Source organism: Homo sapiens, chromosome X, assembly GCF_000001405.40.
Source record: "Homo sapiens chromosome X, GRCh38.p14 Primary Assembly".
NCBI lineage: Eukaryota > Metazoa > Chordata > Mammalia > Primates > Hominidae > Homo > Homo sapiens.
The window spans coordinates 36,088,992-36,114,402 of NC_000023.11; the positions used below are offsets into that span (position 1 = coordinate 36,088,992).

Sequence of the window (25,411 nt, forward strand, 5' to 3'; positions counted from 1 at the left end):
AAATACACTTAGAAAAAGCAACTCACATCCCCTTATATGTAAATTTAGTTCCACTTGTGATTTTCACTTTTATCCTTAAAAATTTTATATCCTGGGCTGGGTGCGGTGGCTCACGCGTATAATCCCAGCACTTTGGGAGGCCGAGGTGAGTGGATCACACAAGGTCAGGAGTTTGAGACCAGCCTGGCCAACATGGAGAAGCCCTGTCTCTACTAAAAACACAAAAAATTAGCTGAGCGCTGTGGTGGGCGCCAGTAATCCCAACTACTCGGGAGGCTGAGGCAGGAGAATCACTTGAACCCGGGAGGCGAAGGTTGCAGTGAGCCAAGATCGCACCACTGTACTCCAGCCTGGGCAACAAGAGCGAAACTCCATCTCAAAAAATAAAAAAAAGGAAAAAAAGAAAATAAAAAATTAAAGTGTTATATCCTTCTCACTTATGCATGACCATTATAGTATCTTATTTAATGGAATTGCATCTAAGAATGAAAATATTTCAAAGAAACAATCCAAGAAGTAATCCTGGAAGGGTGCACTGAACTGGGTTGAAGGAACATGGCTTTTGAATCATGCAGATATAGGCTTATATTCCAACTCTTCTGTACTCCTGTGACCTTCCTTGCACAAGTTACTTCACCCGTTTTAGCTCTAAGTTCAATATGTAAAATTAAGGGTGATAATTCCATAACTAACTTGGTTGTTAGAAGAATTACATCAGGGAAATAACTAACGGATGCTAGGCTTAATATTGGAGTGGCAGAATAATCTCTACAACAAACCCCCGTGATACAAGTTTGCCTATATAACAAACCTGCATATGTACTATTGAACTTAAAATTTAAATAAAAAAAGAATTAGAAATAATATAACGTGAATCACGTGACATATAGTAGATTGTTATTGTTATTGTTGTTAAATGAAATGAATTATGGCCTAAGGCTTTCACCTGCTTAGATATTTCCTGAAACTATTCCAATATAGTAACCACTAGTGACATACTGAAACTGATTCTTGTGATATCACTATCACTGAAATGGAATATTTATTTTAAAAATCCATTGTATGAGTAATAAATGTCTTGTTGACATAAAAATGTCAGAAAGCCAGTATTTATCAATTATAGCCTCACATTTATTAGACTGAATGGAAACTTTATTTAAATTTTAATAAGTTTATAACAGAAAGCACATAGCTTTTAATTTTACCACTTCCTACTTTTGGTCCTCAATAATTGATTCAATAAGGTAAGTGCTCTAATTCAATAAGTCCAAAACCTGAATGCATTTTTTTCAGAAAGTTAGTTTTACTCTGAAAATATAATAAATATTAACTGTGAGCAAAAGAAGGAGGCTTACATACTTAAGTCAATCCTGATTGTATGCATATAATGGAAATCAAACAACTTTGTGACAGCATCATTAAACCTATGGAACTTGCAATCGTTGTGTTATTCTTGTAGAATTCTTTTTGGCACAGCTCCCAGTAGTGTTGACATTAACATGGGTCATTTGTGTTATGACATTTTATGATGTGAGGATGCAGGTATGGAAGAATAATTTTGACATTAAAGCCACGCCATTCAGATTTATTTGCTCTTTATCTGCAAATACATGCCTATCAGGATATGTTGACTGTGATAAAATGACTTAACATTTAGAAAGTGACAGTATGGTTAATAAAATTGGGTCATTAATTCAAGATATGTGCATATGTTTCATCATGGAAATATATGTATTCAAATACAAAATAATCATAAATGTTATCAGCTTCCCCATTTAAATTTGATAATACAATAGGTAAGAACTTTTATACACGTGAAATATCTACTCTGCATAAATGAGCAACTTATGTTTAGGGATTAAGCTAGGATTTTTTAAGAAACAAATTTTTTGAAGATTAAGTTTAGCATTTAATAACTAATTGCACCTAATTATGTTTTGATCCACCCAATGCGAACTTGGAAAAAATATTCAAATAAAAAAACTACTATGTAAAAGTTTAATGAAATCAATTAGGAAAGTCAACTCTTTATAAAACTACTGACAAGACGTAAAATCTACTGATAAGACATAAAGGTAAATATTGTCTTGTGCACTGATGAAGTTAGGCCTTGAGGTAGATTCAAAATGAAAAGCATAAAACAAGTCTTCATAACAGTCTCAGCCTTTAAAATGAAAAAAATGCATTTTTCTTGTCCTCAATTTTACCTAGGGTTTACTCTCTGGTGGACACTTTGGAATACTCAAATAAATAACATGTAGGCTCCCTCCTCAAGAAGCTCCCATTTTAATGGTTCCCTGATATTTTCCTCCAGTTCTCAGTAACGTTTGATATAAGTGACCACTTACACACTGAAATTCTGTCTTGGCTTTGGGCACAAGAAAATATTCCAGTTTCTTCATATGCCTCTGAGTTGTATGTTTTGTTTTACTCTAGAGGATTTCAACTTAATGGAGACATCATCTCATTGCATTTCTACATAGGCTGTCGGTTGGCTAATCTTGCTGAGGAGTGGTGTTACGTAAAATTAGATCTTATTTAAATCTATACCAATTTGACTGTAATGAAGATTCACAGAAGTAATGTGCATGAGGACAGGAATTGTGTGAAAATCAAAAAGACAGTTTTATGTTTCATTTCCCAACAAAGGAACTTTATGTAGGCAGTATGATTTCTTCTACTAGCTTAGACTGACCCAGGGCCATGTCAAACTTAACTCTAGAACAGGGGACACTGCCTCCACCCAAGAAGAGTTTCCTTCCTCACTTCTATTTTCTCAGTCATCTGCACCATCTTCAAGGTTTGAGTTTTCAGAATCATCTTAAGCCTCCATTTTCCTTTTTCTTTTTCCAACTTCTCTGTAATCACAAGACTGCAAATTCTGAGGGTATTTCCAGAATTGAGAACTAGATGTAGGATTCTTTCCTATTAAATGTTTATTGGTGAGTGGTGTTCTAGGTTCACTAACTGAGTTAGACCTGAATATCTGAATCTCCGTTAGGAAATATTTGCCACAAAATACTAGATTTCTACACAGTGGCTCTGATGGTGATGGATATTCATATTAAGAGTTTGGCTAAAATTATTTCAATGAATTTGACAATGAAAAAAGTATATATAAAAACATAAATGTGGTAAATTATATGCATATAAATATGTACATACATAGGCTTTAAAATGTATTAAATGATATAAATAAATATTTACTGCTTCAAATATGCTACCACAAGAATATATAATCAGAGTCTGCAATTTTTGGATATTCTCTTTAGAATAAATAGATAATGAATTACCTTACACAAGCTTTCTATATTTAGGTATTTGTGGTTATAGGTACTCAATAAACATTGGATGACTAGTGATCTCTCTGTTAGATGTTTTATTGTATTCAAACATTTCCAGATGTTTTATTCAATTTTATAATATTATAACAGGAATAAAATGATTACTGCATTGACTACAAATCCAATTCATAAAACTCTTTGTGTTTTGTTACCATGTAGGGATTGATGTAGCTGATTATAGGTCTAAGTAAGTTCTTTCTCATTTATCAAGTTCTCTAAAGAAAACATCGTAGGCACATTTTAGAATTAAGGGAGGTTTTAAAAGTTAACTATATAACTTTTATTTTTTTTTTTTACTTTTTATTTTAAATTTTGGGGGTACATAGTATGTGCATGAGATATTTTGATACAGGCATGCAATGCATAATAATCTCATCATGGAAGATAGGGTATTAATCCCTTTATCCTTTGTGTTACAAATAATCTATGTATACTATCATTATTTTAAAATGAAAAATTAAATTATTATTGACTAGAGTCACTCTGTTGTGTTATCCAATACTACACTTTATTCATTAATTATAATAATTTTTCATATCCATTAATTATCCCCACTTCCCCCTCACTGCCTGACTACCCTTCCCAGACTCTGGTAACTATCCTTCTCTTCTCTATCTCCATGTCTTCAATTGTTTTGATTTTTAGATCCCACAAATAATTGAGAACATCTGACTTTGGTCTTTCTGTGCTTGGCTTATTTCACTTAATATAATTACCTCCAGGTTAATACATGTTCTTGCAAATGACTGAATCTTTTTCTTTTTGATGGCTGAATAGTACTCCATTGTGTAGTTGTATGACATTGTCTTTATCTATTCATCTGTTGATGGACCTACGGTGGCTTCCAAATCTTGGCTATTGTGAACAAACCTGCACAAATGTGGGAATGAAGATTATCTCTTCAAAATATTGATTTCGTTTCTTTTGGCTATATACCCAGCAAGGGGATTGCTGGATTTTGAGGTAGCTCTGTGTTTAGTTTTCTGAAGAAACTCCAAACTTTTCTCTGGAATGGTTGTACTAATTTACATTACCACCACAGTGTACAAAGGCTCCCTTTTCTCTATATTCTCAGCAGCATTTGTTACTGCCTGTCTTTTGGATAAATGTCATTTTAACTGGGATGAGATGATATCTCTTTATACTTTTGATTTGCATTTATCTGTTGATCAATGATGTTAAGTACATTTTCATGTGGCCATTTGCCATTTGTATGTTTTCTTTTGATAAATGCCTTTTCAAATATTTTGCCCATTTAAAAAATGAAATGAGAAATAGAAAACTACAAAAATGAAAAAACAAAACAAAAAATGGTGTGAGTTGATTGAAGGTAAAAAAAGAAACAAAATAAATATAAAAATTTTAAAAAGAAACAAATATTATGCCCATTTTAAAATTGGATTTTTAGATATTTTTCTACAGAGTTGTTTGAGCGCCTTATATATTCTGGTTATCAACCCTTGACAGATGGGTAGTATGCAAATATTTTGTCCTATTATAGGATTTGTCTATTTTCTTTGTTGATTGTTTCCTTTGCTGTGCAGAAGCCATGTATTCATTTATGCTTTAATTGCCTGTTCTTGTGGGATATTACTCAAGAAATCTTTGCCCAGACCTGTATCGTTCAGAGTTTCTTTGAAGTTTTCTTGTAGTAGTTTCATAGTTTGAGGATATAGCTTTAAGCCTTTATTATATTTTGATTTTATTTTTGTATATGGTGGGAGACAGATGTCTAGTTTCATTCTTCTGCATATGGATATGCAGTTTTCCCAGTACCATTTGTTGACAATACTGTCTTTTCCCCAGTGTGTGTTCCTGGCACCTTTGTTGAAAATGAGTTCATTGTAGGCCTGTACATTTGATTTTGGTTTCTGTATTCTGTTCCATTGGTCGATGTGTATGTTTTTAGACCAGTAACACACTGTTTTGGTTACTATGGCTCTGTAGTATAATTTGAAATCAGGTAAAGTGATTCCTCCAGTTTTGTTCTTTTTGCTTAAGATAGCTTTGGCTATTCTGGGTCTTTTGTGGTTCCATATAAATGTAAGGATTTTGTTTCTCTTTCTGTATGGAATATTATTTGTATTTTGACAGAAATTGCATTGAATCTATAAATTGCTTTGGGTAGCATAGACATCTTAATAATAATGATAATTCCAATTCATGAACATGGAATAGCTCTCCATTTTTTGGTGTCCTCTTCAACATATTTCATCAGTGATTTATGGTTTTCTTTATAGAGATATTTTACTTCTTTGGTTAAGTTAATTCCTTGGTACTTAATTTTATTTGTGGCTATTGTAAATGGGACTCCTGTTTTAAAATGTCTTGTTTCAGTTTTTTCACTGTTGGCATATAGAAATGCTATTGAATTTTGTATGTTGATTTTGTACTCTGCAACTTTACTGAATTTGTTTATTATTTCTAATAGGTTTTTTTGTGGAGTCTTTAGGTTTTTCTAAATATGAGATCATATCATTTGCAAACAAGGATAATTTGACTTTTTTATTCTAATTTGTATGCTCCTTATTTTTTATCTTGTGTGATTGCTCTAGCTGGGACTTCCTGTACTGTGTTCAATGACAGTGATGAAAGTGGGCATCCTTGTTGTGTTGCAGATTTTACAGGAAAGGCTTTTAGTTTTTCCCCATTCAGTATGATACTAGCTGTGGGTCTGTCATATATGGATTTTATTCTTTTGAGGTATATTCCTTCCATATCCAGTTTTTTGAGAGTATTTTATCTTAAAGTGATGTTAAATTTTATCAAATACTTTTTCACTATTGGTTGAAATTATCATATGATTTTTGTCCTTTATTCTGTTGATGATGTGTTCTACTTGATTGATTGTATGACATACATTGCATACATTAAACCATTCTTGACTCAACAGGGATAAATCTCACCTGGTCATGATTAATGATCTTTTTACTGTATTGCTGAATTTGGTTTGCTAATATTTTGTTAAGGATTTCTGCATCAATATTCATCAGGGATATTGGACTGTAGCATTCCTTTTTTATATTTCTTTGCTTTCAGCATTAGGGTAATAGTGTCCTCATATAATGATTTTGGAAGAATTCCCTCCTCCTCTATTTTATAAAATAGTTTGAGTAGGGTTGGTATTAGTTCTTCTTTAAATATTTAAATATTCAGCAGTAACGCCATTTGGTCCTGGGCTTTTCTTTATTGGGTGACTCTTTCTTATGGTTGTGGTCTTGTTATTTGTTATTGGTCTGTTCAGGTTTTGGGTTTCTTCCTGTTACAGTCTTGGTCAGCTGTATGTGTCTAGGACTTTGTCCATTTCTTCTAGATTTTCCAATTTATAGGTCATCGTAGCTACTTGTGATCATTTGAATTTCTGCAGTATCAGTTGTAATGCCTTCTTTATCACCTCTGATTTTATTTATTGTATCTTCTTTCTTTTTATCTTAGTCTGGCTAAAGGTTTGTCAACTTTGTTTATCTTGTCAAAAAAGCAACCTTTGTTTTATTGATTTATTTATTTCAGTTTCATGTATTTCTGCTCTGATGTTGATAATTTCTTTTCTTCTATTACTTTGGGATTTCGCTTGCTCTTGCTTTTCTCTTTCCTTAAGATGGAATGTAAGGTTGTTGGTGTGAAGATTTTCTTCTTTTTGAAGTATGTACTTACAGCTATAAACTTCCCTCTTAGTACTGCTTTTGGTATATTTGATAGGTTTTGATAAGTTGTGTTTCCAATATCATTTATCTCAAGAATTTTTTCAATTTCCTTAATTTATTCATTGAACCACTGGTCACTCAGGAGCACATTTTTAAGTTTTCACATATTTGTATAGTTTCCAAATACCTCTTGTTATTCTTGTTTTATTCCATTGTAGTCAGAAGATGCTTGATATAATTGAATGTTTATATATAATTGAATGTTTTAAGACTTGTTTTGTGACCTAACATGTGGTCTGTCCTTCAGAATGATCCATGTGCTGAGGAAAACAGTAGGTATTCCATAGCCATTAGATGAAAACTTTTGGAAATATCTATTAGATCCATTAGGTCTATAGTGCAGATGAAGTCTGATGTTTTTTTCATTTTCTGTCTGGAATATCTGTCAAATGCTGAAAGTGGGGTTGAACTCTCCAGCTATTATTATCTATTGGCCTATCTTGCTCTTTATTTCTAATATTTGCTTTATATATCTGGGTGTTACAGTGTTTAGTGCAAATATATTTACAATTGTTATATCCTCTTGCTTAATTGACCCTTTTATCATTATATAATGACCTTCTTTGTTTCTTCTTATAGTTTTTGTATTGAAATCTACTTTTTTTTGATACAAGTATAGCTACTCCTGCTTTTTTTTTATTTCCATTAGCATGGGGTATCTTTTTCCATCCGTGTATGTTCAGTCTATGTGCATCTTTATAGGTGAAGTGTGTTTCTTGCGGCAACAGATCATGGGATCTTTGTTCATCCATTCAACCACTCTATATATTTTGATTTAATACTTTAGTCCATTTACATTCAATGCTATTATTGATAAGTAAGGATTTACTTCTGCCTTTTTAAAATTTCTTTTCTCATTGTCTCCTCTTTCTTCTTTCTTTTCTTCCTGTTTAATGAGATGATTTTCTCTGGTAATGTGATTTTGCTTCTTGCTTTTTATTTTTTGTGTATCTGTCATATGTTTTGTGGTTTGTGGTTACCATGAGGCTTGCAAATAGTATCTTATAACCCATTATTTTAAGCTGATAACAACTTAACACAGTTTGCATAAACAAGCAAACAAAAAAGAAACAAGCGAAAAGAAAACTAATAAAGACTCTACACCTTAACTTCAGCCCCTCGCTTTTTAACTTTTGTTGTTTCTATTTATATCATATTGTACTCTATGGCTTTGTAGTTATTATTTTTGATTGATTGATTACTTAGTCTTTCTATTTAAGATAAGAGTAGTTTACACACCACAGTTACAGTGTTGTAATAATCTGTGGGTTTTTTTGTGTACTTACTATTGCCTTTGAGTTTTGTACCTTCAGATAATTACTTATGGTTTATTATTGTCCTTTTCCTTCTGTTTGAAGTATTCCTGTTGGCATGTCTTGTGTTGATGAAATCTCTCAACTACTGTTAGGGGTCTAGTAAAGTCTTTGTTACTTTTTCATATTTGAAGGATAATTTTACTAGATATTCTATTTTAGTGTAAAAGTGTTTTTTGTTTTGTTTTTTTTCTTCAGCACTTTAAATATGTCATACCACTCTCTCCTGGCCTGTAATGTTTCCACTAAAAAGTCTACTGTCAGACATATCAGAGGTTCATTATATGTTATTTATTTCTTTTCTCTTGCTGCCTTTAGGATCATTTCTTAAAATTTTTGATATTTGGGAGACTGGTTATTTAATGTGTTGAGGTAGCCTGCTTTGGGAGTTTTATTATTAAATGGCTTGAGGTAGTCTTCTGTGGGTTAACTCTGCTTGGTGTTCTAACATTCATTCGGATATTGGATATTTGGATATTGATTTGGGATATTGATATATTTCTCTAGGTTTGGGAAGTTCTCTGCTATTATCTTTTGAATAAACTCTTTTCCCCGGCTCTTTCTCTACCTCCTCTGTAAGGCCAGTAACTCTTAGGTTTGCCCTTTTGGGGCCATCCTCTAGATCATGTAGGTGTGCCTCATTGTTTTTATTCTTTCTTTTTTTGTGTCCTCTATCTATTTTTAAATAGCCTGTCTTCAAGCTCACTTTTTCTTCTGCTTAATCAATTCTGCTATTAAAAGACTGATGCATTCTTTAGTATGCCAATTACATTTTTCAACTCCAGAATTCCTACTTGATTTTTTTAAATTATTTTAATCTGTTTGTTAAACTTATCTGATAGAATTCTGAATTCCTTCTCCACGTTATGTTGAATTTCTTTGAGTTTCCTCAACATACCTATTTTGAATTCTCTCTCTGAAAGGTCATGTATCTCTATTTTTCCAGGAATGGTCCTTGGTGCCTTATTTATTTGGTGAGCTCATGTTTTCCTGTATCATCTTGATTCTTGGAAATATGTATCTGTATTTGGGCATTGAAGAGTTACAATTAGCTGGTGGCAAAGCCAGCCAAGCCTATATCTTTCCTTTAAGGCTTAGAGTTCCCCCAGACCCCAGGTGGGTCCAGAGGTGCTGTTCAGAGCAACGGACTAGAGTTAAAAAAAACTAGAATTCCACCTGGTGTTATATTGTACTGTGGCTGAGCTGGCACTCAAACCATAGGACACTTTCTTTTCACTCTTCCCTCCCCTTTCCAAAGGCAGAGAAGCTTCACCCAGTGGCCACTGCCACCTCTGGCTAATTATATAACTTTTAAATTTGAAAAATAAAATCTAGCATATATACAAATGTGACTTGAAATATTTAATTGATGGTCAATGCAAATCATATATAGAACATGTATATTATATTATAATTTGAGTTTTTCTTTTTTAATTTTAGTGCTCAAGGAGGATGTATTTCACATGTCCTGCCAGAATTTTTGCTTGAACCAGAAGATTATAAGAGGTGGATTGAAATTATGGTAAGAAAATATAATTTCTTGGAACAAACCACACAGTTATTATTGTATGTACTGGTATTTGGCCTATGTTAGAATATTCTACTTCAGACTGTTGAGTTTTATATGCAAAATATTATTAGGATCATAATTTTTGGATAACCCATATGTTTTTGTACATTTGTCTAAAAATCTCTATGGAGTTCCTATGCAAAAAATGATTACATGGCTTTCTTAAATATATAAATAATTCCTACTTTGGAGAATTTATAAATGAAGAATAAGGTGGGGTTATGTAAATTTTATTCTTAAACTTTTAGAATACATATTTTCCAAAGAAAATACTGGTTTTATTTCACCACCATGTGCCACTTTTCTTCTTCGTTTTCAGGGGAAAATAGAAATGTAGCAAGAAATATATAGTTTTGTCATAATATATAGTTTACTTTGTGGTAACCTACTGAGAGGGGAGTGGTCTTTGAGGAGTCTGCAGGCTTTGAGGCAACTATGGTTGTAGGACTCTCACTATGCTTGCCATGTGACATGAGTAGAGAACCAGGTGCCTGCCTGTTCTTTGGCACTATGCTGAGGTCCTGTTGCCTTATCCAAAGGGTGTGATTCTTTCTTGGCTCAGCAATCAGAAGAACTTCGTATCGTGTTCGGCCACTTATTCTGCAGAGTGATCTAGTAGGTGCGTTGAATGAATAAATGTATGATCTAAATAAGAGACTGTGTGCTCCATAAAGTTACCTGTGGTGATATCTTCTATTATTGGCACATTGCAAATTAGAGCTCTTGATTAAAGTATAGAAAAGGCATCCACATGTTTTGAAAAAAAAAACTCATATGCTAAATTTGCCTTAAATTTTAATTAATGTTGTACTATTTTATTTCTTAAAGTCTTCCACTAATACGATGCCTGTGAGTTCCTGTACACCTAAGAAAAAATGTTCTATTGTTATAGAAATGTCTAAATTTGAAGCCTGGAGTAAACGGGCATGGACAGATGTATTTCTACAGATATACAAGGTAACATTTCCATTATTGTTCGCTGCTTCTCTGTTGATTAATATGAATCATATGTTAATTAAAGTATAGACAATGCTGCTATGAAAGATTCAAAAACACAGTGCCTTAAATGAGAGATTTTTTTTTATTGCTTTCTCATGGAACTGCTGAGATGTGAGAGGGTCAAAGCTTCTGGAGTATCTCTTTCCTCCTCAGTACTAGGCTTTCATGTATGGGTCTGATTTCTCTGAAGAAGGAAGAGCAGGTAAAGGAGTACTGGAGGCAAGGAGTTACCTTTTAAGGATGTGACCTGTGAAATATGTCTTTTTCATTTCAGATTTCATTAGGCAGAATTCAGTCATACAGTCATATCTAACTGCAAAAAAAGTTGAGAAATACAGTCTCTAGAATGAGTAGCTACAGGAATATTCTAGTACTAAAAGGGAGAATTAAAGAATGAGTACTGGTGAAAATTATTGTCTCCACATCTAATACACGGTAGTCTCTTGCTATAAAACTATATTCACTAAGATTCATACAACTATAGGCAAAAGGTTTTTATGAGATTCTCGAACTTACTTCCTGCCAAATTGCATTTGTGGGTAGATTAACATAGCGTAAATTATACCTCTATACTCTGTACCCTTATTGCATAAGCAAGTCCTGGTTTCAGTGCTTGAATAATTCCTTAGGTTTTCAAATATAGCACTATAGATCTTGTCCACTAGGACCAATGGAGGCTTTTGTTCTGTCTTCACACCTTGCAACCCCAGACGGGTGAGCTGTAGGACTGAGAGTTAGAACAAGGGAGGAATTGAATAGAATCAGGAATTAGTGACTCAAAGGAAAGGGCAAAATTAAGAGCTGAATAGTGAGTAGTATGTGTAAGACTCTGTCAGTAAATTTTTTAATATTAAATCCTCACAACTGAAATCATCAATTTAGCAATGAAGAAACTGAGTGTCACAGGCGCACATTCTTTCTTTCAAGATCACATGAATTTGACCATATGCAACAATTTGATGCAGGTAGTGCTTATTTCTTCCATGTTGTTCTCTGCTGGGGCCCAGGAGTCCAGGGCCCTCATGTTGCCCCCTGGCAGTCTGAAGTCTCCTTTGGAGTCAGCCACCCAGATCACCCTCTGGAGAGTTCCTTCTTCTGCATGATTCCTGACTTGCTCCTCCTGTGCTTCTCTTTTTCACCATCAACCTGAACTATCTTTCTTGCTGAATGTAAGAAGAGTATTCTTGTGCAAAAATTCATTTCATTGGTGACTGGTTGTTAATGCTGGAAATATGATCCTTTGCACTGTTAGTCATATAGGGCCTACTCTGCTTCACCAGAAGCATGGTCTTGGGTTTGGTTTGATAATCCAAACTGTGAAATACAGTAGATTTTACACAGCAACATGTTAACTTAGTTTTAAGGAAGTACAAAAGATAGTTATAACACAGAATGCACACCAACAGCGAAGCCAAGAGCTGTGACTCAAAGCATAGCTTCCAGTGTCCCACTGACTTCACACTCACGTCAGAAATGGTTACAAGAAGTGGAATATGGTGGGCAAGGACCATTTCAATACAGGAAAGCCTTCAAGTCTGAGAAATCTTTTCAGTTTTCTAGTCATGCAGCACCCTCAGAGTAATGAGCAATTTCTCATTACTCAATACAAAACACTGACAATGAGGTATGAGCGCTTGATCTGGTACACTATCCTCATCTGGATTCTCAAGTAACTTGGATGTCCTATAAATGTATTGCTATACATTTCTTTAGTTAAGGGGGTTTAAAGAGACTCCAAATAAGTGTTAAACCATCAGGCGTCTCTAAATCTAAAGGAAAGATCATACATAAACTGACAATTGATTCTTTTCTTTGGGTCAACATAAGCCTAGTCAAGATGATTCTTCAGAACAAATCCAAATATCTCATTAGTCTCAAAAATACAGAGATTTTTATGGACAAGTAAAAATGAACATTATGTTTTCTAAGCCAGTGGGTTAAAAGAACACATAATTTAAAAAGTTGTCATTAATAAACAATAAGCCAAATATAATAGCAAAGTTCATGTGAACCTGAAAGTGCATATGATAGGGGTGGGATAGCGCTCAATATATGTAAATGTATACTATTAGTAGTAGTTTTGTCATTGTTGTTCTGAAGTCTTTTAAATGTCCCATAGTGACATAGTGGGATAGCCCAGGACTATGTTCTATTTTGTGGCCAATGTATTGACTTTAAAGGGTGCTATTACATTTCTTGAATCAAATCTTTAACAAAAATGAAAGATAATTCGAAACAATGTTTTCTGAGGGCATGAAAGAATTTCCTGAGTATGGATCACAAAATTTGATTTACCCAAATTTCATCTTAGCTGGCACGGCTCACAGCACATTCTTGCCTCTGTAATTCTTACTCCATTCCTTCAACTCATGCTTGGTGTGGTTTGCATGTTAATGGATAAATAGTAACACTTATTGCCCCAGGTGTATTTGGATTTGCAAGTGATGGAGTCTTGGACTTTGCGTACATTTTAATTCTTCGTTTTATTTTTCTAGCAATTTATTTTCAGAGTATTTTACAAAACTATCATTCTGTGGTAAAGAGAAAATTAATAAGTTTTTTTTTACCACCGATAATTTCAGAAACACTGCTGTAGAATTAAGCACTCAGTGTAATGGCTCTTCCAATACTAAAGGTTACAACCATGCTCCATATGGGTCCATCATTAAATCAGTATTCTTAGTCAAGGGTCACTTGCAGATCTTGTCTTATTTGCAGAGTAGAAGTGACAGATGACAGATGAATCCTGAGCCAGTTCAGGTCATTAGTCCCAAACATATATCTCATCAGCTGTACTCAAGTAATTTATCATTTGGTATTTCCCAGAAATAAACAGAAATTGATGGGGGTCCTTTTCAAAGGCTTTAAATTGCATTTTTATAATACGTGAGATTTGAAATGTAGGACTTCTAGACCACAAAACTGCCAGAATGAAAGAAGGCAGTTCCATTAAACATCTATACAAAATGCTAAAATGGTGCAATTCACATATGCTAGATAAATAGCTAACATTCAGAAATGGATTTTTTTAATCAAATTTTGAAGTACTTCTTATAGTGGTAAACAAAAGAACAGTTTTGGATGCTCATAGGTATTTTAACAATCTGTATACTGTAGTTATTTGAAACACTGTATGGCATAAATATGCATTACTTAGAAAAAGAGCACTTTTTCAGTTACTATTCACATGTACTTGACTGTAAGAGTACTTGTCTTAGGTTTGATTCCCCTAAAAGCAGACACTGAGACAAGTATTTGAGTGCAAATCATTTATTTCAGAAGTGCTCCCAAGAAGCATCAGTAGTAGAGTAGTGAATTAAAGCAGATAATATAATGAAGTCAGTAACAGTTGTGGTTTCAATCAGGTTTCGCTGTGGGCAACTGAAGCTCAATGCCACTGGGGACCAATAGGATACATTTTAGAACATGTCTCAGACTTATCTCAACTGACTAGTGAGGAATCTGGAGTAATTAACTACCAATTCCCTGACCATCTTTGGTAAGGGGCCGTTGCTGGGGTCATTATCTTCTGGCGCTCCTACCTTGCCCTCTGTGAGCTGAGTGTGCTCTCATATGCCAGAAAAAAAAAAAAAAAAAAAAAAAAAAAACATCCCTCAAGCAGAGACTTACAGGTTTTCACAATAAGCAAGCTTCAGAATGTAAAGGTGGAACTAAGGAGATATGAGCAGGGTATCAATAGTATCTTTATAGCACATATGACTCAAATTGTTGTGTTCATACCCATACCACTGGAAAACCATCTATTAAAGGTTTGGGATAAATCAAGGAGCTGAGCTTACACTGTGTACTTTAATGTGAACCAATGCTCCATTCGGAAACTCTTGAGATATATATAGTGAGGTAGCAGATCACAAGCTGTTCATCTCATCTAGAACTTGTAGACAATGGTTAGTAGAGTGTTACTTTGAGTAGCTCTGTACTATAGTACTTTACTGACAGACACAGAGTTCTTTTCATCTTAATATCGCTAAAATTATTTTTAAATCCAGTTGCATTGCTACCTAATAAAACATGTGGTGTACATGTAGTGAATGGTGATATGATGTGAATATACCACACTTTAAGTTATAGGGTAACAATAGGTCAAATGACAAATTGTGTACACTTTTATCATCTTAAAACAGACCTCTTAAATAAATGTAAGAAAATAATTTTTGGCTTGTTAACTTATTTACTTTTACTTTGGCTTTTCTAAGCTGCATGAGCTGGTAAGGAAATAAGAAAGGCATCTTACATCCTTGTGTTTTAAATGAATTTACATCCTAACAGAAATGTTCTTAAATGCAGTTATGTTTTAAATGTACAATAAGCCTCTTGTAAATTATACAGTGTAGTTCCTTAAGACTAAATACCACAGAAGCAAAAAGTTGTCAATTTAAAATGAGCATTATTGGGACACATCTGTTCTACTCTTTTACTTCTGATTGAATCCATTTAACCAGAAAATACTAGTGCCCTCTTTAATCTCCTGTCATGTTTTTTAAAATTTTCTCTTCAAATATTAATTTGCTATTTTTCCATTTGCATCTAATAAAAGTTATCTCTCCCAATTTCAGGTTTTGGTTCTATCCCGTGTAGTGCCATACTGCAGCAATAATATGCCCCCCATATGTGTGCAAAATACACCAAAAGTCAATCCTTGTTTTGCATCCAGCAACATATATTCTGATTCTGAAAGAATTTTGCTTAGTTGGATGAACATAAATTATGAGAATACTCGACATGTGATATGGAAAAACTGTCACAAAGGTGAGAAGTGATATTTTTCTTTAAACAAATTATTGCAAATTGTAGTGTGATGATGGAGAAGGAGCCATGGATACACAATCAACTCAGAATCCATGGATTCTAGACCCCTCTCCAACATTTACTTTCTGTTCTACAAAAATAATGCCTCCTTAACATCTTCAAGATATGTTTCCTCACATATAAAATGGAAATAATAAAAGGTGCTTCTTTAACTTATTTTGAAGAATAACTGATTTTAAAAGCATATGGAGGAACTCTAGAATGAAAGCATTAATCATTGCTGACATTTTCAACTGTATAGAGTATTAAATATATAGGTGACACTGCTCAAACTTAGTATATAACTAGTCGAGATCAAGTAAAATCTCCTAGAAAAAATTTCACATGTCATATGAGGATCATGTTGGAAATCACTAAGAGCAATAATGCTTCATGAATTCTTTGGAGGGTAGGTCATATTAGGTATTTCACAATGAAATAAAGTCATTTCACATCCTTGTGTTTTAGATGAATTTACATTCTAACAGAACTGTCCTTAAAATGCAGTTTTTTTAACCGAGTCATAAGCCTCTTGTAAATTATACAGTGTGGTGCTGAGACATGTTGGTGTTCACAGATAGTACTAAGGACAGTGCGCATGGCCATTGTTCCTTTAGCTTCAATTCAACTCCTTTCTTCCAAGTACATACAAACCTATTGTGTTCAAAGTAGACTGTTTTTTAACATGAAATAACTTTTTAATATCCAATATGCAGAATTTAATTCAAACTTTACAAGTAAGGGGAAGATTAAGAGTTCAGTTTAAAAATGAGACTTTGAATTATGATTGCCCTTAAATTGAAGGTGTTATTTTAGAAAACATTCAAGAAAACACCAAGATTGAAAAAGATATATTGACATGTTGGTATTTGAGAACAGCAAACATAGAATACTTTATTACCTTCTAATTGACATGCTGAAAATATCAAAATTTATCTTATAAAAATATATTTGCCCCATTAAAATACAAAACAAAGTACAAATAAATAATGCTAAGGTGAACTACACAAAAACACATAAAAATTAGTTTGATTATTGCAGAGTAACACTTTGACCAGGGTGTCATAAAATATGTGCATGTATTAAAAATTAACGTGTTAATTTGTTATAAAAGTATTATGGTTCTAATTTTACCAAAACAGTGGCCTATGCCAGTTAATTTCAAAGATTTTGCCACATTTTTCCCAAATAATATATTATAGACATTTACCTCCTTGCTGTTTTTTAGCACACTGAGTCCAATGCCTTTACAAAGCTTTTGTGCTTCCTGTTCCCTTTGACTAGACTATTATTTTACCAGATATCTTCATGGTTCCCTTTCTCATTTCATTCGAGTCATTGATTAAATGTCACCTTATCTGAGAAGGTTTATCAATATCTTCTCTAAAACAGGATATCCTTCAGTCCTACTCTTTCCTGCTCTATTTTTATTCTCAGCAGCACTTTTTAAATATAAATGTAATTGTAAACATAAATGTATTTGTTTATCATCTGTCTCTTCCAGTAGAATGTCACCTTCTGAATAAATTAGACAAGATTGCTCTTTGACTAATTAGGAATGTGACCTTCTTAATTAGCCAAGGAACAATCTTGTCTCATTTATTCCCAAAGCCTAGAACTGTGCCTAACAAAATAACAGACACATACTGTCTTAGCTTTGTCCTGGTATAACAGAATACCATAGACTGGGTAATTTATAAAGATCAGAAATTTATCTTTCACAGATCTAAAGGCTGAGAAGTCCAAGATTAAGGTACTGGCAGGTTCTATGTCTGATAAGGGCTGCTGTCTGTTTCCAAGATGGTGCCTAGACGATGCACACTCCAAACAAGAGGAACACTGTGTCCTCACGTGGCAGAAGGCACAAAAGAGATAAACTCCCTCCATCAAAGAACAATGTATTATTCAGCAGTAAAATGAAGTGAGCTATCAAGGCATGAAAAGACATGGAGTAAACTTATAGATGTATTACTAGGTAAAAGGAGCCAATTTGAAAAGGCTACATACTGTGCGGTTTCAACTATATGACTTTCTGGAAAATGTAAAACCATAGAGACAGGAAAAAGATCAGTGGATACTAGGGGTTAGCGGGGAAGGAGTGATGAATAGGTAGAGTACACAGGACGTTTAAGGTAGTGAAACTACTCTGTTTGATACTATAATTATGAATACATGTCATTATACATTTGTTAAAACCCATAGAATGTATAATATTAAGAGTGGGCCCTGATGTAAACTGTGAACTTTGGGTGATAATGGTTTGTTAATGTAGGTTCATCAGTTGTAATAAATGCACCACTGCAGTGCAAAAGGTTGATAGTGGGGGAGGATTGTGTGTGTGTGGTAACTCTCTGTAACTTCTGATTCATTTTGCTACAAACCTGATAATGCTTTAAAAAACTGTCTATTTAAAAATAATTTAGTAATACATTTTTAAAGCAAAAAATAACAATTCCATTGTTAGACTCATTAAGCAATATGTCTAATAAATATGAATCCATTGCTCTGATGACCTGTACAGTAAAAAAGTCCTTCAGAAAATTCATAAACTTCAGTCCATTGCAATTTATGTAAAATTATTTGTGTGTTTTAGGTAATCATTGATCTAAATTTCAAGTCTTTAATAATGTTAGATACAACTCATATTTTCTAAAATATTAATATAGCAAATATCTGTAAGCTCCGCACCAAGCTTTAAATCCTATGTGAGCACGTTGAAGGTGCTGAATAAATATCTCTTAAATAAATCAATGGCTAAATGGATGGTTATATAGATAAAGCCAAAAGAAGTTGAAAAGATGTTCAAGTATTTAAAACTAGTTGAAAAGCTGAACATCTGACAGGAACAGAGACAAGCCAACAGCTTATTATTGTATCAAATATTATACTTTTTCCCTTGAGGATATAATTAACCTATAAACAGTGTTCTATACAGACTTATTTTGTGTTGATGTGCTGATGTGCACTCTTGTCTTGGCTTTGTTCTTCTCATCTTATACATTCTCTCTTCTCCTCTGTTACTATTTTCCTTCATTTATTACCATATATAACATTCTTTCTTTTTGCCACATTACTTTCCTCAATCTTGCTATTTACCTAAGATTCTTATTTCTATATTACCTTTTTCTTACGTCTCTTTTCTTTTCAATATCTTCCTTTACGTGCCTTACACCTCTCCTTCAATCTCTATTTATTTATTTTTCCCTTGACCATTCAGGGAATAAACACTTGAATTTTAACTATGAGTGTTTCCAGAAGATACTGCTCACTGTGACTTCTGCTTAAAAATTACAAGCTTTTTGAGCATTAGAGTTGTTCAGATTCAAAGGGAGGCATTTCCTCTACCCTCTGATATACAGACACCATTTTTCCTCAGATTTCCTGTCTTGCCCTTGTATGCTAGCTAAAGCATTTTGGCTTTCTTTGTGGCTCTCAAGACCCTCCTTAGCATTCTCTGTTCAAGGTCTCTTTCCTTCATCACATTGATATTTTCCTTCTTCTGTCTTTGCTCCAAACCTCCACATTTTGGCCATCTATATCCTCTTGTGGTTTTAAGTTACTCTTCCAATGCCTCCCAGATCCAAATCTACCTCAGACCTACCTCCTCACCTCCAGTTCTGTATATCTTTCTCCTTATGAACACCTTCATTAAAATGTCCCATAAGCACCTCAAATTTCACTGGTCAAAAATCTAGGCATCCCTCCTTCTTACATCTAATTAATCACCAACCAACAATTTATTTTGATTCTATCCACAAGTTATCTTCTGAATCTACCTACTTTTTTCTAGCTCTTCTGTCACTTTTGTAATTTATCATTTCAATCAATGTCACCCTCTCATATTTACCACATCCAGTCCTGCCATTTGCCCATCTGTTGCTCACACAGCCATACTTAGTTCTTCATAAAACACAAATTTTAGCATCAGACTCCTGCCTAAAATCCTTTAATGGTATTTTATTCACTTCAATATCTACCATACCTTATAACCATAACTCTTTACATTGACTTTTGCACATTATACTTCAGCGCTGTAAACTATTGATTGGCTGCTGCTTCCTTTTTTTTTTTTTTTCACTTTTATTTTAAGTTCATGGGTACATGTTCAGGTTTGTTATATAGGTAAACTCATGTCACGGGGGTTTGTTGTATAGATTATTTCATCATCCAGGTATTAAGCCTAGTACCTATTAGTTATTTCTTCTGATGCTCTCCCTCCTCCCATCCTCCACCCTCCTGTAGGCCTCAGTGTCTGCTGTTCCCCTCTATGTGTCCATGTGTTCTCATCATTTAGCTCCCACTTTAAAGTGAGAACATGTCATATTTGTTCCTTCATTAGTTTGCTAAGGTTAATGGCCTCCAGTTCCATCCATGTTCCTGCAAAGGACATGATCTCATTCTTTCTTCTGGCTACATATTATTCCATGGTGTGTATGTGCCATGTTTTGTTTATGCAGTCTACCGTTGATAGGCATGTAGGTTGATTGCATGTCATTGCTATTGTGAACAGTGCTGCAATGAATATATACCTGCATGTGTCTTTATGATAGAACAAATCATATTCCTTGGGTATATACCCAATAATGAGATTGCTGGGTTGAATGGTAGTTCCATTTTTAGGTCTTTGGGGAATCACCACACTGTCTTCCACAATGGTTGAACTAATTTACACTCCCAGCGACAGTTTATAAGTGTACCTTTTTCTCTGCAACCTCTCAAGCCCCTGTTACTTTTCGACTATATTTTTTTATTTTTTATTTTTTTGAGATGGAGTCTAGCTCTGTCACCAGGCTGGAGTGCAGTGGCACAATCTTGGCTCACTGCAACCTCCACCTCCCGGGTTCAAGCGATTCTCCTGCCTCAGCCTCCTGAGTAGCTGGGATTACAGGCACACGCTACCACGCCCAGCTAATTTTTGTATTTTTAGTAGAGACGGGGTTTTACCATGTTGGCCAGGATGGTCTCCATCTCCTGACCTCGTGATCCACCCACATCGGCCTCCCACAGTGCTGGGATTGCAGGCCTGAGCCACCGCGCCCAGCCTACTTTTTGACTTTTTAATAAGAGCCATTCTGACTCGTGTGAGATGGTATTGCACTGTGGTCTTTATTTGCATTTCTCTAATGATCAGTGATGTTAAGCTTTATTCATATGCTTCTAGGCTGCATGTATGTCTTTTGAAAAGTGTCTGTTCATGTCCTTTGCCTACTTTTTAATGGGTTGTTTCTTTTTGGCTTGTAAATTTAAGTTCCTTATAGATGACCTTATATTCCTTATATTAGACCTTTGTCAGGTGCATAGATTGCAAAACTTTTCTCCCATTCTGTAGGTTGTCCGTTTACTCTGTTGGTAGTTTCTTTTGCTGTGCAAAAGCTTATTAGCTTAAACAGATCCCATTTGTCAATTTTTTCTTTGGTTGCAATTGCTTCTGGTGTCTTTGTCATGAAATTTTTTCTCATTTCTACATGAAGAATGGTAGTGCCAAAGTTGTCCTCCAGGGTTTTTATACTTTTGGGTTTTACATTTAACTTTTTAATACAATTTGGATTAATTTTTATATATAGTGTAAGGAAGGGGTCCAGTTTCAATCTTCTGCATATGGTTAGCCAGTTATTCTGTCAGTATTTATTGAATGGGGAGTCCTTTCCCCATTGCTTTTTTTGTCAATTTTGTCAAAGATTAGATAGTTGTAGGTGTGCGACCTTATGTCTGACCTCTATTCTGTTCCATTGGTTTATGTATCTGTTTTTGTACCAGTCATCCCCTTTTTGTTACTGTAGCCCCTTTGTATAGTTTGAAGTTGGATACAGTGAAGCCTCCAGCTTTGTTCTTTTTGTTTAGGATTGCCTTGGCAATTTGGGATCTTTTTTGGTTCCATATGAATTTTAAAATAGTTATTTCTAGTTCTGTGAAGAATGCCATTGGTAGTTTTATAGAAATAGCATTGATTGTATAAATTGCTTTGGGTCATATGGTCATTTTCACAATATTGATTCTTCCTATCCATGAGCATGGAATGATTCTTCCATCTGTTGGTGTCATCTCTGATTTCTTTGAGCAGTGTTTTGTAATTCTCCTTGTAGAGATCTTTCACCTTCCTTGTTATTCCTAGGTGTTTTATACTTTTTGTGACAATTGTGAATGTGATTACATTCCTGATTTGGCTCTTGCTTGACTGTTGTTGGTGTTTAGAAATGCTAGTGATTTTTCTGTATGTTCCTTTTGTGTCTTGAGACTTTGCTTAAGTTGTTTATCAGCATAAGGAGTTTTTGGGTTGAGACTAAGGAGTTTTTTACATATAGAATCGTGTTGTCTGGAAACAGGAAAGATTTGACTTCCTTTCCTCCTATTTGGATATCCTTTATTTCTTTCTCTTGCCCAATTGCTCTGGCTAGGACTTCCAATACTATGTTGAATAGGACTAGTGAGAGGGCATACTTCATCTGTGCTGGTTTTCAAAAGGAATGCTTCCACCTTTGCCCATTCAGTATGATATTGGCTGTGGGTTTAATATAGAGAGCTCTTACTATTTTGAGGTATGTTCCTTCCATACCCAGTTTATTGAGAGTTTTTGACATGAAGTCATGCTGAGTTTTATTGAAAGCCATTTCTGCATCTATTAAGATAATCATGCACTTTTTCTATTTAGTTCTGTTTATGTGATTCATCACATATTTTTATTTGCATACATTGAATTAATCTTATGTTGCAGGGATAAAGACTACTTGATCATGGTAGATTAGCTTTTTGACATGCTGCTGAATTCAGTTTGCCAGTATTTTGTTGAGGATTCTTGCATCGATGTTCATCAAGGATATTGGCCTGAAGATTTCATTTTTTTGTTGTTGTTGTGTCTCTGCCAGGCTTGGTATCAGGATGATGCTGGACTCATAGAATGAGTTAGGGAGGAGGGCTTCCTTCTCAATTTTGGGGAATAAGTTCAGTAGAAATGATACCAGCTCTTATTCATACATCTGGTAGAATTTGGCTGTGAATCCATTTGGTCCTGGGCTTTTTGTGGCTGGTAGGTTATTTATTTCTGATTCAGTTTTGGAGCTCATTATCGGTTTGCTCAGGGATTCAATATCTTCCTAGGTCAGTCTTTGGAGGGTGTCTGTGTCCAGGAATTTATCCATGTATTCTAGATTTTCTAGTTTATGTGCTTAGAGGTGTTCATAATATTCTCTGATAATTATTTTTATTTCTATGGGGTGACTGATACCCTTTGTAATTTCTAATTGTGTTTATTCAGATCTTCTCTCTTGTCTTCTTTATTATTCTAGCTAATGGTCTATTTCATTGTTTTTTCACAAACTCAACTCCTGGATTTGTTCATCTTTTGAATGGTTTTTTGTGCCTCAATCTCCTTCCTTCAGTTCAGTTCTGATTTTGGTTATTTCTTGTCTTCTGATAGTTTTGGGGTTTGTTTGCTCTTGACTCTCTAGTACTTTTAATTGTCATGTTAGGTGGTTAAATCGACATGTTTCTAACTTTTCATGTGGGCATTTAGTGCTATAAATTTTCTTTTTAACATTGCCTTAGATGTTTCCCAGAGATTCTGGTATGTTGTATCTTTTTTCTCATTAGTTTCAAAGGACTTCTTGATTTCTGCCTTAATTTCATTATTCACCCAAAAGTTATTCAGGATCAGGTTATTCAATTTCCATGTAATTATATGGTTTTGAGTGAATTTTTAAGTCTTGATTTCTAATTTTATTACTCTGTGGTCCAAGAAGTGGTTGTTATGATTTCAGCTATTTTGCACTTGCTGAAGCGTGTTTTGTGTCCAATTATGTGATCGATTTTAGAGTATGTGTCATGTGGCAATTAGAAGAATGTATACCCTGTTGCTTTTGGGTGGATAGTTCTGTAGATGTCTGTCAGGTTCATTTGATCCAGTGCTGAGTTCAGGTCCTGAATATCTTTGTTAATCTTGTGTCTTGATGATCTGTTTAATACTACTAGTAAGTTGTTAACATCTCCCACTATTATTGTGTGGGAGTTTGTCTTTTTGAAGGTCTCTAAGAACTTGCTTTATTAATCTAGGTGCTCCTGTGTTGGGTGTATATTAATTTAGGATAGTTAGGCATTCATGTTGAATTGAACCCTTTACCATTATGTAATGCCCTTCCTTGTCTCTTTTGATCTGCTTTGGTTTTGTCTGAGATGTAGATTGCAACCCCTACTTTTATTTTTGTTTTCCATTTGCTTGGTAGATTTTTCTCCATCCATGTATTTTGAGACTATGGGTGTCATTGCATATGAGATGAGTCTCTTGATGACAGTATACCAATGGGTCTTGGTTCTTTATCCAGCTTGCCACTCTGTGCCTTTTAATTGGGGCGTATAGCCCTCTTACATTCAAGGTTAGTATTGATATGTGTGGCTTTGATCCTGTCATCATGATGTTAGCTGGTTATTATGCAGACTTGTTTGTGTGGTTGCTTTATAGTGTCACTGGTCTGTGTACTTACATGTGCTTTTGTAATGGCTGGTAAAGGTCTTTTCTTTCTATATTTAGTGCTTCTTTCAGGAGCTCTTGTAAGGCAGGTCTGGTGGTAACAAATTCCAACATTTGCTTGTCTGAATAGGATCTTATTTCTCCTTTGCTTATAAAGTTAATTTGGCCAGATATGAAATCCTGGGTTAGAATTTCTTCTCTTTATGAATATTGAATATTGGCCCCCCATCTTTTCTGGTTTGTGGGGTTTCTGCTGAGATGTCTGTTGTTAGTGTAATGGGCTTCCCTTTGTAGGTGACCTGACCTTTCTCACTAGCTGCCTTTAACAATTTTTCTTTCATTTTGACCTTGGAGAATCTGACAATTATGTGTCTTGTGGATTACCTTCTTGTGAAGTACCTTACTGAAGTTCTCTGCCTTCCCTAAATTTGAATGTTGGCCTCTCTAGCTAGGTTGGAGAAGTTCTCATAGATGATACCCTGAAATATGTTTTCCAAGTTGTTTACGTTCTCCCTGTCTCTTTCAGGGACACCAGTGAATCATAGATTTGGTCTTTTTATATAATCCCATATTTCTTGGATGTTTTGTTCCTTCCTTTAAATATGTTTTTCTCTATTCTTGTCTGTCTTTTTTTTTTTTTTGGAGTCTCGCTCTGTCGCCCAGGCTGGAATGCAGTGGCACGATCTCGGCTCACTGCAAGCTCTGCCTCCTGGGGTCACACCATTCTCCTGCCTCAGACTCCTGAGTAGCTGGGACTATAGGCGCCCACCACCATGCCCAGCTAATTTTTTTGTATTTTTAGTAGAGATGGAGTTTCACCGCATTAGCCAGGATGGTCTCGATCTGCTGACCTCGTGATCTGCCCGCCTTGGCCTCCCAAGTCTGACTGTCTTAGTTCAGAAAGCCAGTCTTCAAGCTCTGAGATTTTCTTTATAGCATTGTCTATTGTGCTATTAATACTTGTGACTGCATTATGAAATTTTTGTAGTATGTTTTTAAGCTCTATGACGTCGATTACATTCTTTTCTATACTGCCTATTTTGTCAGTCAGCTCCTGTATTACTTTATTATGAGTCCTAGTTTCCTTGGATTGTGTTTCAACATACTCCTGCATCTCCATGATCCTTATTCCTATCCATCTCTGAATTCTATTTCTGTCATTTCAGCCAACTCAGCCTGGTTCATAATCCTTGAGAAGTGATGCAGTAGTT

At 34.6% G+C, this 25,411-nt stretch overlaps 1 protein-coding gene across 3 annotated transcripts in view; it reads left to right on the plus strand.

The window, feature by feature from the left end:
• Positions 1-25,411, plus strand: part of CFAP47 (cilia and flagella associated protein 47) — a 465,584-nt gene that overhangs the window by 169,258 nt on the left and 270,915 nt on the right. For all 3 annotated transcript variants that reach the window (NM_001304548.2, XM_017029452.2, XM_017029453.2), the window contains exons 31-33: positions 9,802-9,883; positions 10,760-10,888; positions 15,508-15,700. In NM_001304548.2, coding sequence (NP_001291477.1) covers positions 9,802-9,883; positions 10,760-10,888; positions 15,508-15,700 — 404 coding nt within the window. The remainder of the gene's footprint in view (positions 1-9,801; positions 9,884-10,759; positions 10,889-15,507; positions 15,701-25,411) is intronic.